Source organism: Homo sapiens, chromosome 17 (genome assembly GCF_000001405.40).
Source record: "Homo sapiens chromosome 17, GRCh38.p14 Primary Assembly".
NCBI lineage: Eukaryota > Metazoa > Chordata > Mammalia > Primates > Hominidae > Homo > Homo sapiens.
Genome location: NC_000017.11, coordinates 5,836,231 through 5,849,959, shown reverse-complemented (window position 1 = coordinate 5,849,959; position 13,729 = coordinate 5,836,231). Strand labels below are relative to the sequence as shown.

The 13,729-nt window shown below is 41.7% G+C and overlaps 1 long non-coding RNA gene across 1 annotated transcript in view, besides 1 other annotated feature; it reads right to left on the bottom strand.

The window, feature by feature from the left end:
- The window catches only part of LOC339166 (uncharacterized), a 158,463-nt gene that overhangs the window by 80,737 nt on the left and 63,997 nt on the right, over positions 1 to 13,729 (bottom strand). Inside the window, exon 2 of the long non-coding RNA NR_040000.1 lies at positions 12,744 to 12,779. This is a non-coding gene — a long non-coding RNA (uncharacterized LOC339166). The remainder of the gene's footprint in view (positions 1 to 12,743; positions 12,780 to 13,729) is intronic.
- Positions 11,948 to 12,449: an enhancer, noted in NCBI's record as "H3K27ac hESC enhancer chr17:5740831-5741332 (GRCh37/hg19 assembly coordinates)". NCBI's record gives its function as "activates a minimal SCP1, AML or CMV promoter by ChIP-STARR-seq in naive H9 embryonic stem cells {active_cell/tissue: H9 hESC(naive)}" and the evidence as "EXISTENCE:reporter gene assay evidence [ECO:0000049][PMID:30033119]".

The following is a 13,729-nucleotide window of genomic DNA, read 5'->3' as shown; positions in this document are numbered from 1 at the left end:
ACAATGATAGACTGGATTAAGAAAATGTGGCACATATACACCATGGAATACTATGCAGCCATAAAAAATGATGAGTTCATGTCCTTTGTAGGGACATGGATGAAATTGGAAATCATCATTCTCAGTAAACTATCGCAAGGACAAAAAACCAAACACCACATGTTCTCACTCATAGGTGGGAATTGAACAATGAGAACACATGGACACAGGAAGGGGAACATCACACTCTGGGGACTGTTGTGGGGTGGGGGAGGGGGGAGGGATAGCATTAGGAGATATACCTAATGTTAAATGACGAGTTAATGGGTGCAGCACACCAGCATGGCACATGTATACATATGTAACTAACCTGCACATTGTGCACATGTACCCTAAAACTTAAAGTATAATAATAATAAAATAAATTTTAAAAAAAAGAAAATTTCAGGAAAAAAAAAAGATTAAAGTTTTTAAATCAATAGCTTTAAAACACAAATTCACAGTTGGAAAAACGTAATAGGATAGAGTAGGACTTGGCACATTATGGCCCATGCGGCCAAGCCCGTTCCACAACCTGTTTTTGTAAATAAAGTTTTATTTCAGTATAGCTATACCAATTTGTTCATATATTGTCTGGGGCTGCTTTGAGACTGCAATGGTACAGTTGGTTATTTGAAAGAGAGATCATATGGTCCACAAAGCTTAAAATATTTACTATCTGGCCCTTCACAAACAAAGATTGCCAGCTCATGGAATAGAGGATCTCATTCTCATTAACAATGAAATTTATAAAAATACTCAGAAATAAATTTATAAATGAGTGGACAATTTATCGATTAATAAAAGTATAAAACTTTACTAAGGCATAAGATAAATTTTAAATAAGCTTGAATGGAAAGACTCAATACTGTAAAAATGTCTTTTCTCCTCCAAATGTATCTATAAATACAAAGTAATCACATTCGAAATTCCAAAGAGAGATTGTTAAACTTGACAACGCTAATTCCAAAATTTAAATGAAAAAGAAAATGTAGGACTTCCACTTCAAATAATGGCAAACCATTTTGCTTTAAACCGACCTACACGCGCACCTCAGAGACAAACAAAGATGGACACAATATTTAAAAGCAACTTTTTGGAACTAAAGGTAGATCCACACCTCGATCTAGCAATCCCACTACTGGATATCTACCCAAAGAAAAAGAAATCACTATATCAAAAAGACACTTGCATGCTTGTATTTATAGCAGCAGAATTCATAATTGCAAAGATATGGAATCAACCTAAGTGCCCATCAACTGATGAGCAGATAATGTTTATATATATACGTGTGTGTGTGTGTGTGTGTGTGTAATACTACTCAGACATTTAAAGAAAACAACAAAATAATGTCTTTTGCAGCAACTTGGATGAAACTGGAGGTCATTTTTTTTTTTTTTTTTTTTTTTTGAGACGGAGTTTCACTCTGTTGCCCAGGCTGGAGTGCAGTGGCGCCATCTTGGCTCACTGCAAGCTCCGCCTCCTGGGTTCACGCCATTCTCCTGCCTCAGCCTCCCGAGTAGCTGGGACTACAGGTGCCCACCACCACGCCCAGCTAATTTTTGGGTTTTTTTTTTTTTTTGTACTTTTAGTAGAGACGGGGTTTCACCGTGTTAGCCAGGATGGTCTCCATCTCCTGACTTTGTGATCCGCCTGCCTTGGCCTCCCAAAGTGCTGGGATCACAGGCGTGAGCCACCGCACCTGGCCTGGAGGTCATTATTCTAAATGAAGTAACTCAGGAATCAAAGACCAAGTGAGAGCTAAACAATAGGTACTCAAAGGCATACAGAGTGTTGTAATGAACACTGAAGACTCAGAAAGGAGGAGGGTGGGAGTGGGGTGAGGGATGAAAAACTACCTATTGGGTGAAATGTACACTACTCAGGTGATGGACGCACTAAAATCCTAGGCTTCACCACGATATGATTCATCCATGTAACCAAAAACCATTTGTACTCTTAAAGCTATTGGAATTTTTAAAATTAAAAATAAATAAATAAATACCTTCCTAAATGCATCCAAGAGCTAACAAGATAGTGAGAAATTATCACACCAAGATCTAAAATAAGATAGAAATTGAAAGAGGTGAGCCTGCCATTGAAGGCCACCTTTGTTCCCCAAGCAATTACAAATCCAAAAGAAGTAATTTATAAGCTAAGACCCATTTTGAAATATTCACAAGACAAGAGGGACAGGGGTAGGAACCTTAATGACACACTCACACTAAGAGCTGAGATGCCAAAGTTCTAAGCCTAAGGAGGAACCAGAAGTAAACTAACCATTACACAGGCTGCCTCTCAGTCTCAAGTTACCAGGTGTTCTAGAATATTTCAAACCTGAAATGGGATTAAGGTGATCTGAGATTGCTAGCACCTGGCAGAACCAAATGAAAAAGAACTAGCAACGTAAAATATGTCAAAGCAGATTTGAAAAAGCACCAAATAGGCAGGGTGCGGTGGCTCACGCCCGTAATCCTAACATTTTAGGAGGCTGAGACAGGCGGATCACGAGGTCAGGAGATCGAGACCATCCTGACTAACATGGTAAAACCCTGTCTCTACTAAAAATACAAAAAATTAGTTGGGCATGGTGCAGGTGCCTGTAGTCCCAGCTACTCGGGAGGCTGAGGCAGGAGAATCATTTGAACTCCAGAGGCAGAGGTTGCAGTAAGCCAAGATTGTGCCACTGCACTCCGGCCTGGGCAACAGAACAAGACTCGATCTCAAAAAAAAAAAAAAAAAAGCACCAAATAGATATTATAAGCTAAAAGTACAATGATTAAAATTAAGAACTTGAGACACAAATGAAGAGACAATTAATGAACTGAAATATATGTTAGGTAAAATATTTAGAATGAAGTGCCAAAAGACAAAGAGATGGAAATTACAGAAAAAAGAGTAAGAGACATAGGGGATGTGTTGAGAAAGACTGACATGGGTTTAACTGAAGTCCTGGAAGGAGAGTAGAGAGAATACGTTGGAAGCAATATTTAAACAAGTAAAATGGCTTTAAAATCTCCAAAACTAGTGAAATAAATTAATCCATGGATTCAAGACCCCAATGGCTCCTTGGCAAAATAAATAAAAATAAATGTATTCCCAGATACATCACAGTGAAACTGCATAAAACCAAAGACAGAGAGAAAATCGAAAGGTATCACTTCTAAGAAGAAACAGACCTACAGCTGACTTCTCAACAGCAACAGTGGAATACAGAAGACAGAAGGGTGGTATTTCCAATGGACTAAAAGAAAATACTGCCAATCTAGAATTCTATACCCAGTGAAAATACTTTTCAAGAACAATTTGAAATAAAGACATTTTTAGAGCAGCAAACGACCAAGGGGCTTCACCACTAACCAATTTGAACTAAAGAAAATATAAAAGGAAATGATCCCAGATGCAATAGTGCAAATTAACAACAAGGAATTAAAAAAAATGGTAAATATATGGATAAACCAAAATGAACAGAGTTTATTTTAAAAACTAATAATATTCCCTGTGAAGGCTTAAATGCATATAGAATTAAAATGCAGAACAACAGCACATGAGCCAAGAGAGCAGAACATGGAATAAAAGTATTCTGAGATCCTTACCCTGTTCAAGAGGAAAGTAAATGTACCAACTGATACTAGACTTCGATAAGTCAATAAAGCATATTGTTATCTAGAGAGATCATGGCAGGAGAATGGTATGAACCTGGGAGGCAGAGCTCGCAGTGATGGTGCCACTGCGGTGGCAGTGAGATTGCGCAACTGCACTCCAGCCTGGGCGACAGAGAGATACTCTGCCAAAAAAAAAAAAAAAAAAAAAAAAACAAAAAAAACAAAAAAAAACTTCAGAAGAGTATATGACTTCCAACCAACAGAGGAGTAGAGGTTGAATCATGTATGTATGACTATCCTCAAGAAAATGCCAAAAGATAGGTCAGGTGCAGTGGCTCATGCCTGTAATCCCAGCCTTTTGGGAGGCTGCGGTGGGTGGATCACATGAGGTCAGGAGTTCGAGACCAGCCTGGCCAACGTGGGGAAACCCCATCTCTATTAAAAATACAAAAATTAGCCGGGTGTGGTGGCACACACCTGTAGTCTCAGAGGCAGGAGGCAGGAGAATCGCTTGAACCTGGAGACAGAGGTTGTAGTGATGGTACCACTGCATTCCAGCCTGGGCAACAGAGTGAGACTCCATCTCAAAAAAAAAGAAAAAGAAAAAAGAAAATGCCAAATAATAGAAAATGAGGGAGGATTTGCCCAGATAGATGTTAGAACAAAGATTACGCACATATTTATTTAAATGATGTGGTGTAGGCATACAAATAGTGGAGTGGATTATGTTTATTTTTATGTCCCCCCAAAACTTCCTGTGTTGAAACCATGGCCTCCCGAATGACAGTATCTGGAGCGGGGACTTTGGGAGGTCATTAGGTCGTGTGACTAGAGCCGTCATGACAAGATTGGTGCCCTTATAAGAAGAAACAGCAAACAGCCTGATTCCTTTCTCTGCTCTGTGCCATGTGAGGACACAGAAAGAAGACAACCATCTGTGGACCAAGAAAGTACCTTTTCCTCAACAAAATCTTATTGTGCAGACACCCTAATCTTAGGCTTCCCAGTCTTCGAAACTGTGAGCAAGAAATTTCTGTTGTTTAAGTCACCCAGCCTATGGTATTCTATGACGGCAGCCTGAACTGACTGAGATAAATAGATATACGGATCACAGGAATGGAATCAAATCTACAGTTTTGTGTATATATGGCAATTTCATCTACAATGACTACAGTAATGATATAATAAGGAATTAGAAACTGTTCTAAGTGCATTTATTATTAGTAGCAAAATATTATTTGCTATAAAAGCATTTTGAATTCCTAGGAAAGAAAGAACTATTCAATAAACAGTTTAAAGAAAACTCCATATCCATTTGAAAAAAATAACTTAGATACATAACTTGTACCATACAAAAAATAAATTCCTGTTAGATAAAAATGCTAAATGTAAAAAAAAAAACTATAAAAGAGTTGGAATAAAACTATGATGTAATTATTATAATCTTGGTATTGGAAAGATTTTCCTAAAACAAGACATATAACCCAGAAGCCATATAATAGAGGATTAACATTTTTAATCTCATAAAATTTTAAAACATTTTTGTTGAAAAATGGCACCTCAAATACAGTTAAAATACAAACAGCAAATAGAAGACATTATATGCAACACACTTATCTCACATAGAATTTATAGCCAAACTATATCAAGATTATATACAAATCAATAAAACACACAATAAAATCAGACAAATGATATAAATAGGCAATTCACAGAAGAAAAATAGAAATGCCGATAATCATAGGAGAAAATGCACAGCTTCCGCTAGTAACCAGGGAAATGAAAATTAAAACAATAATGAGATATTATTTTATACTCATTATATTGCCAAAAAATTAAAAAGATTGATAGTAACAAATATTAGCAAGGATGTGTGAAAACTGCTTTCAGATACTTGCTGGAAGCATTTGAGAACTTGTGAGGTCATTTGGAACCCATTAGGCGTCATCGACCAATGTTTAAATGGGCATTCCCTTTACCCTAGCAATTTCATTCCTGGAAACCCACCTGCGCACAAAGATATACATACAAAAGCAGTTTTTGTACCCTGGTTTGCTAGCACAAAACGCTGGGGGTTGGGAAATTTGTAGATGTGTATCAATAGGAGAGTGGCTAAAGATTGACCTACTGTGGGACCATGGAATTCTCTGCATACATTAAAATAATGTAGTAGTCCTTCATGCACTGACATAGAAAGATGCCCAACACTTATCAAAAAGTAAAATAAAATTGAAAAATAATTTGCATGGTATGGCACCATTTATGTTTATATTTTTCTTACACACACACACATACACACACACACACACAAAGACATTGGAAGAATGGAACCCAAGGTGTTGATGTTGGTTACTGATATGGTTTGGATCTGTGTCCCCACCCAATATCATCTTGAACTGTAATCCCCAATGTTGGAGGTGGGGCCTGGTGGGAGGTGATTGGATCTTGGGGGTGGATTTCTCATGAATGGTTAGCACTGTCTACTTGGTGCTGTTCTCGTGATAGTGAGATCTCGCGATATCTCACTCACGGGATCACTATATACTTACAAAGTGTATAGTACCTCCTGCACCATTGTCTCTTGTTCCTGCTCTGTCATGTGTGACACCTCCCTCCTCCTTTGCCTTTCGCCATGACTGGAAGCTGCCTGAGTCCTACCCATGATTCGGGAGCAGGGAAGGAAAGTGCTGGGTAAAGGAGGGCTTGGTCCCTGGCTAGGGCTCCACCCCCATGGACGTAGCTGAGGACAGGCGCTCCTGCCTTCCCGCCCAAATGTTGCATTTCCCAAGACCACCCTGGACCGCCAGGGGCCCATCCTGTGCCTATAAAAACACAAGACCCGGCTGGGCCGCCTGTAATCCCAACATTTTGGGAGGCCTAGGTGGGCAGATCGAGAGGTCAGGAGTTTGAGATCAGCCTGGCCAACATAGTGAAATCCCGTCTCTACTAAAAACACATTAAAAAAAAAAAAAAAAAACACCTAGCTGGGCGTGGTGGTGGACACCTGTAATCCCAGCTACTTGGGAGGCTGAGGGAGGAGAATCACTTGAACCCAGGAAGTAGAGGGTGCAGTAAGACGAGATTGTGCCACTGCACTCGAACCCTGGCAACAGTGCCAGACTCCCTCTCAAAAAAATAAATAAATAAATAAATAAAATAAAAAACAAGACCCTGGCTGGGCATGGTGGCTCATGCCTGTAGTCCCAGCATTTTGGGAGGCCAAGGCAGGCAGATCACTTGAGGTCAGGAGTTCCAGACCAGCCTGGCCAACATGATGAAACCCTGTCTCTACTAAAAATACAAAAAATTGGCTGGGCATGGCGGCAGGTGCCTGTAATCCCAGCTACTCGGGAGGCTGACGCAGGAAAATCGCTTGAACCCGGGAGATGGAGGTTGCAGTGAGCCGAGGTCGCGTCACTGCACCCTGTGATATTGCTTCTAAAATCCAGGGGGAAGTGTATGACATTACTCCCAATATAACAGTGGGTGTACAACCACCCAAGGATACTGCTCCTAATATTCAGGGAAGGAAAAAATGATGTTACTCCCAATATCGCAGAGAGTGTGCAACCCTTCTGTGATATTGTTCCTGATATCTGGAGGGGGAGAGGATATTTAGTACAATATCGCAGGCTGTGTACCCAGTGACATTGTTCCTAATATCCAGGAAGGTAGAGGATGATATTCACCCCATATAGCAGGAGGTGTACACCCACGCTGTGATATTGTTCGTAATATCCAGGAAAGGGAGAGCCTGACATTACTCCCAATATCTCAGGTGGTGTACATCCCCCCGTGATATTGTTCTTAACATTCAAAAGAGGAGAGGATGACATTACTCCCAATATCGAAGAAAGTGTAAACCCTCGTGTGACATTGTTCCTAATATCCGGAAGGCGAGAAGATGTTATTAATCCCCATATTGCAGAAAGTGTGCACCCTCCCCCCATGATATTGTTCCCATGATCCAGGAGAGAAGAGGATGATATTACATTCAATATCGCATGGGGTGTACACGCCCCCAGTGATATTGTTCCTAACTTCAATGTGGGAGAGGATGATATGACACCAAATATCGCAGGGGGTATAAACACTCCTGGGATATTCTTCTTCATATCCAGCAGGGGAGAGGATCATATTACCCCCAATACTGCAGACAGTGTACACCCGTCTGTGAAATAGTTCGTAATTTCCAGAGGGAGAGATGATACTACTCACAATATCGTAAACACGCTGTGGGTCCACGGCAGGTCGTAATATTCAGTGGGGGAGAGGAGGATGATATTACTCCCCATCTCGCAGGGTGTGCCCACCCCACTGCGAGGTGGGTGGTAATATCCAGGGGGGAGAGGAGGATGATATCACTCCCCATCTCGCAGGGGTTTTCCACCCCCCAGCGAGGTGGATCATAATTTCCAAGTGGAGGAGAGGGGGATATTACTCCCCATCTGGTAGGGGGTGTCCATATATTATAATTATAGTTATAATTACATATATAATATAGGTAATTATAATATATTATATTATATATAATTCTAATTATAATATAATTACATATATAATTTTAATTATAATTAAATATATATTATATATAATTACATATATTATATAATTACATATATTATATATTATGATTACATATATAATGCATATATTGTAATTACATATGATATATTATATATTATAACAAAATATTATATATAATAATTACATACATTATATTATATATAATTACATATATATCATGTAATTATAATATATAATATATAATTACATATATTACATATATATTATGTAATTATTATATACTATATATAACATATATATCATATTAATATTTATATATTTATTATATATTATAGTATATATAATATAATATATTTATATTATATAAAATATATTATGCATATATAATATACAATTTATATAATATAATATGTTAATATTATATTTATGAATATTATTATATTTATTAATATTAATGTTATATATTTATATTATATTAATGTTATATTATATTAATGTGATATTTTATTATCATATTAATACAATGTGATATATTAATATGATATATTAATAATATTGATTAATATTTAATCTCTGAGAGAGACTCTGTACCAAAACGACAAAAAAAACAAGACTCTTGCAGGCAGACATAAAGCTGCTGGACGTCGTAAGGAATACATCGGCGGAAGAAGACACAACCCCCTGCTCGTGGAGAGCATGCTGGCAGAAGAGCAGGCCGCCAGGCACTGGCAGGCCGGCAGGCCATCGAGCAGAGGAAGGATGTGGAGTTTGGCCTGAGTGGTCAGAGTTGAGCCTGGCAGCCAAGCAGCCTGACTCCAAGGGAAAACCATCTGCCTTCTGACTCCCCCATCTGCTGAGAGCTACTTCTACTCAATATAAAACCTTGCACTCATTCTCCAAGCCCGCGTGTGATCCGATTATTCTGGTACACCAAGGCAAGAAACCCCGGGATACAGAAATCCCTCTGTCCTTCTGATAAGGAAGGGGCTCTACTTGAGCTGGTTAACACAAGCCGCCTACAGACCACACACTAAAAGAGCACCCTGTAACACACACCCACTGGGGCTTCAGGAGCTGCCAACATTCACCCCTAGACACTGCCTTGGGGTCGGAGCCCCACAGCCTGCCCATCTGTATGCTCCCCTAGAGGTTTGAGCAGTGGGGCACTGAAGAAGGGAGCCACGCCCCCATCACGTGCCCTCTGAGGGGGACAAGGGAACCTTTCCCATTTCACCTGGAAGCATATGCCGTCATGCTTCCTGTACAGTCTGCAGAACTATTAACCAATTCAGCCTCTTTCCTTTATAAATTACCTAGTCTCAGGTAGCCATGCAAAATTTGGCTAATACAGTTGCCCACAGGGAAGGGAGTATGAGTAATAAGTAAAGAAATGGCGACTTTCATGTATGAAAGTGATGTTTTGGCCAGGCGCGGTGGCTCACGCCTGTAATCCCAGCACTTTGGGAGGCCGAGGCAGGCGGATCACAAGGTCAGGAGATTGAGACCATCCTGGCTAACACGGTGAAACCCCGTCTCTACTAAAAATACAAAAAAATAACTGGGCGCGGTGGCGGGCACCTGGAGTCCCAGCTACTCAGGAGGCTGAGGCAGGAGAATGGCGTGAACCTGGGAGGCGGAGCTTGCAGTGAGCCGAAGTCGCACCACTGCACTCCAGCCTGGGCGACAGAGAGAGACTCCGTCTCAAAACAAAAAAAAAAAAAAAAAGAAGAAGAAAGTGATGTTTTGCCCAAAACTGAGGTGGAAGCAAATTGTGCGTTCATCGTCTTTGAGAGCAGGTTGGAGATATGTTTTGAGAGCTTCAGTGAAAGGCCAGGCCCTGGGCCTGTGAGTGATACCTGAGGGTGAACGGGATATAAACCCTGTTGCTTGAAACATTCAATTAATAGGCCCAGATCAATTCGCTATCCTTTACTTCTCAGATCTGTGACTTGGTGTTTTTGATTAGCGAGTCATGTCTGATGGTGGTTCCAAATTATCCATGCCCCACCACTGAGAGGAACCTGATTTTTTTATGACCACGTGATGCCAGACAACAAGCTGTGTCTAGCTAGGTGACAACGAGGCAAGAAAGAAAGGTCCATGTCCAGCTAAGAGAGGCAAATCTCTCTCCCAGGATCTTTGAACAGCTCACTCCCTTTGCTACCTGTGTTAGAACCCTTCATTAATAAGCAATAAACCTTGACTCGCATTTGGAAATTTTAACTGACCATGGTTTGCTCTGTATTTAAATTTTATAAAATAAGACTGTATTGAGGTAATACCTGTGAAATATATAGCTCCATAAATAAATGTCCCCCTAGTATAGCTTTTGATTGGATATTTTCTATCTCGGTGGATGTTAAACAACTCATTTGGAAGCCTAGAAAACAATTTGATGTTTAAAATAGGTTTTTATACTCAAAAAAATATTGAGATACTTCATATACTTTTCACAATTACTCTAATGAATGAAAGGGAATGAAGTGGAGAGAGGGTGGTGTGGGAAATAAATGAATTTTCAGTCGTGGAGCACAAACTCAAAAACCATAGCCAAATTGACTCCCTGTGGTGCACATCTTTCAAGAGCCCTGCACATACAGACAGGGGGCCCTGGGTTCCAGCCACCAACCCCATTCCCCCTGCTCTCTTGAGAGGCCCCCAGCACCCTTTTCTCGCTGCCTCTGCTGCACTCTCCTGGCCAAACCCCAGCCTGCTCCAATCCAACTGTCTCACTTCTGCTCACCCACACCAGAGCAGCTAAATGTCACCCAAGAAAATCACTTCAAATGACCTGATTCTGATTTGTTACACTTTCAATTCATGACCACAGAATTCACTCAGAGACTAAGCCCTCTGGACCGCCCTCCCGTATTAATCTCTTGGGTTCACTTTGTGGCTGTCTTAGAAAACTGTTCTGTCGGCTATGCATGTAGGCTCACGCCTGTAATCCTAACACTTTGGGAGGCCGAGGCAGGCAGATTGCCTGAGGTCAGGAATTCGAGGCCAGCCTGGCCAACATGGTGAAACCCTGTCTCTACTAAAAATACACAAAATTACCCAAGTGTGGTGTAGGACGCCTGTAATCCCAGCTACTCAGGAGGCCGAGGCAGGAGAATCACTTGAATCTGGGAAGCGGAGGTTGCAGTGCGCCGAGGTAGCGCCACTGTACTCCAGCCTGGGCAAAATGAGTGAAACTCCACCTCAAAAAAAAAAAAAAAAAAAAAAAAAATTAAAAAAAAGAAAGAAAGAAAACTGTCACTTCTCTCTCCTTTAATCCCCTCCCAACTCCCATTTTGGCCAGTGGGGGCACCTCATTCTCCAGGGCAGAAAGAAAAGAAAATAACAACAGAAGCTCCCTCCTGTTCCTAGGCCAACCCTGTGTGAGGCGGGTGCCCACTCTTGCTCCTGTCTTAATAGAAGATGCATCCCTGCTCCTCTCAGAGGCCCATATGCCCTGGAGCCCAAGTTTCCTTACCTTCTCCAGGCATTTACTCCTCTCTCATATTTTAAAAATTACCCTCAGCTCATTTTGCACTTCTGCTTGAAACCCTCTGTGACTTCTTCTGTACTTAGAAAATCCACAGCCCCTATGCTGGTGGCTGGGCATTGGGGGCCTGGCCTCTACCCACCTCTCCAGCCCAGCTCCTCCTGTCCTCCATCACCTGTTCAGTCCTTTTGGCTCCTTGAACAAGCAAAACTGTCCCTCACTACAGGGCCCTCATAGTGGACACGCTGTCCACAGCCCTGTGGCCAGCTTCTGAGTTTATCTGGAGCTGAGGCAGACTGTTCCAGCTCGCTGGCTGCCTCCCTAGACAAGAGCCTGGGTCTCTCTGCTTCTCAGCCTAAGGGTGTCCTCTCCCCCACAGAACGTGTCCAGCTTCCCAAATGCACAACCCATGAGCATGGAGAAGTGACCAGCCCTGGAGACAACCCTCAGCCAGTGGGAGATGGGAGTAAATAGATGCACTCCCAGTTCCCACCTCTCATTGGGATGATCCTGAGCAAGCGTCACCATTCCTCAGAGGATCCCCACCGGACTGAGTTCCTGCTCACAGTGATACCCCTTCACGAATGCACGTGTTATGGGCTTTTTTTCCCTTCCCTGTCTGTTTCCCACCTCCCAATTTGTGCTTTGTTTTTTGGTTTTTTTTTAGACAGAGTTTTGCTCTGTCGCCCAGCCTGGAGTGCAGTGGCGCCATCTCGGCTCACTGCAACCTCGGCCTCCCAGGTTTAAGTGATCAAGCAATTCTCCCACCTCAGCCTCCTGAGTAGCTGGGATTATAGGTGCATGCCACCACGCCCGGCTAATTTTTGTATTTTTAGTAGAAATAGGGTTTCACCATGTTGGCCAGGCTGGTCTTGAACTCCTGACCTCAGGGGATCCACCCATCTTAGCCTCCCAAAGTGCTGTGATTAGAGGCATGAGTCACCGCGCCCGGCCCAATTTGTGCTTCTTGAAATCACTTCCCAGGTAAACTACCAGCGCCCAAGTCCCTCTCATAGAGCCAAACTAGGATGCACTTTGACAATCTAAGATCCTTGTTTTCTGTCTCTCCTTACCAGCCTGTCAGGCTAGAGCAGGTCCTTGTTTACCTTGGTCATTACTGTGTCATCAGTGCCAGCACATTCCTGGAGATCAAAAAAAAAAAAAAGTGAGTCAATGAATGAACAAGCCAAAACTGCTGAATGCACACAAGCACAGCCACATGTACACAATTCCCAAAGTTTTGAAGAATCAAAGATTGAACATTCTCTCTCTAAGCAAGCACTGACACCAAAACCTGAGACACTCATTCTTCGTTCTCATCTAAGAGTTAACAGTTTCCCTGAGGCCTCCTTCTCCAAAGGCAATGTTACCCACTAGTTAACTTAAGCCTTTTAGAGGAAAAAAAAAAAATAGTTACTTGAGATTAACACTAGAACATGCTTCTATCTCCTGGTTTTTATCTCTAATCTTAGTCAAGCCATTCCTAACTTGCCCTTCAGTATAGATCAGTAATTCAGAGTGAAATCTCTAGAGTTAGACTCCCTGGGTTCAAACCCCAGCTTAGCCTCAGTTTTTTTTTTTTTTTTTTTTTTTACCATTTGTACGGTGGGGATAATAAGAGTACTATATCACAAGGTTACTGGGGGACTAATTGCATTAAAATATACAAAGTCCTTAGGACACTGTTGGCACATGGTAGGCACTATTCAGGTATTTGTCATTAGTTCTAGTGTTAATATCTTTTTTCTTTTTTTTTTTGAGACGGAGTCTCACTCTGTTGCCAGGCTGGAGTGCAGTGGCAGGATCTCGGCTCACTCCACCTCCCAGGTTCAGGCAATTCTCCTGCCTCAGCCTCCCGAGTAGCTGGGACTACAGGCGTGAGCCACCACGCCCAGCTAATTTTTGTATTTTTTGTAGAGACGGGGTTTCACCATGTTGGCCAGGATGGTCTCAATCTCTTGACCTCGTGATCTGCTCCCCTCGGCCTCCCAAAGTGCTGGGATTACGGGCATGAGCCACCACGCCCGGCCATCCTAGTGTTATCTCTTATTTCCCACCTTTGGAACCTGATATTGTGGACACAGCCGTGTAG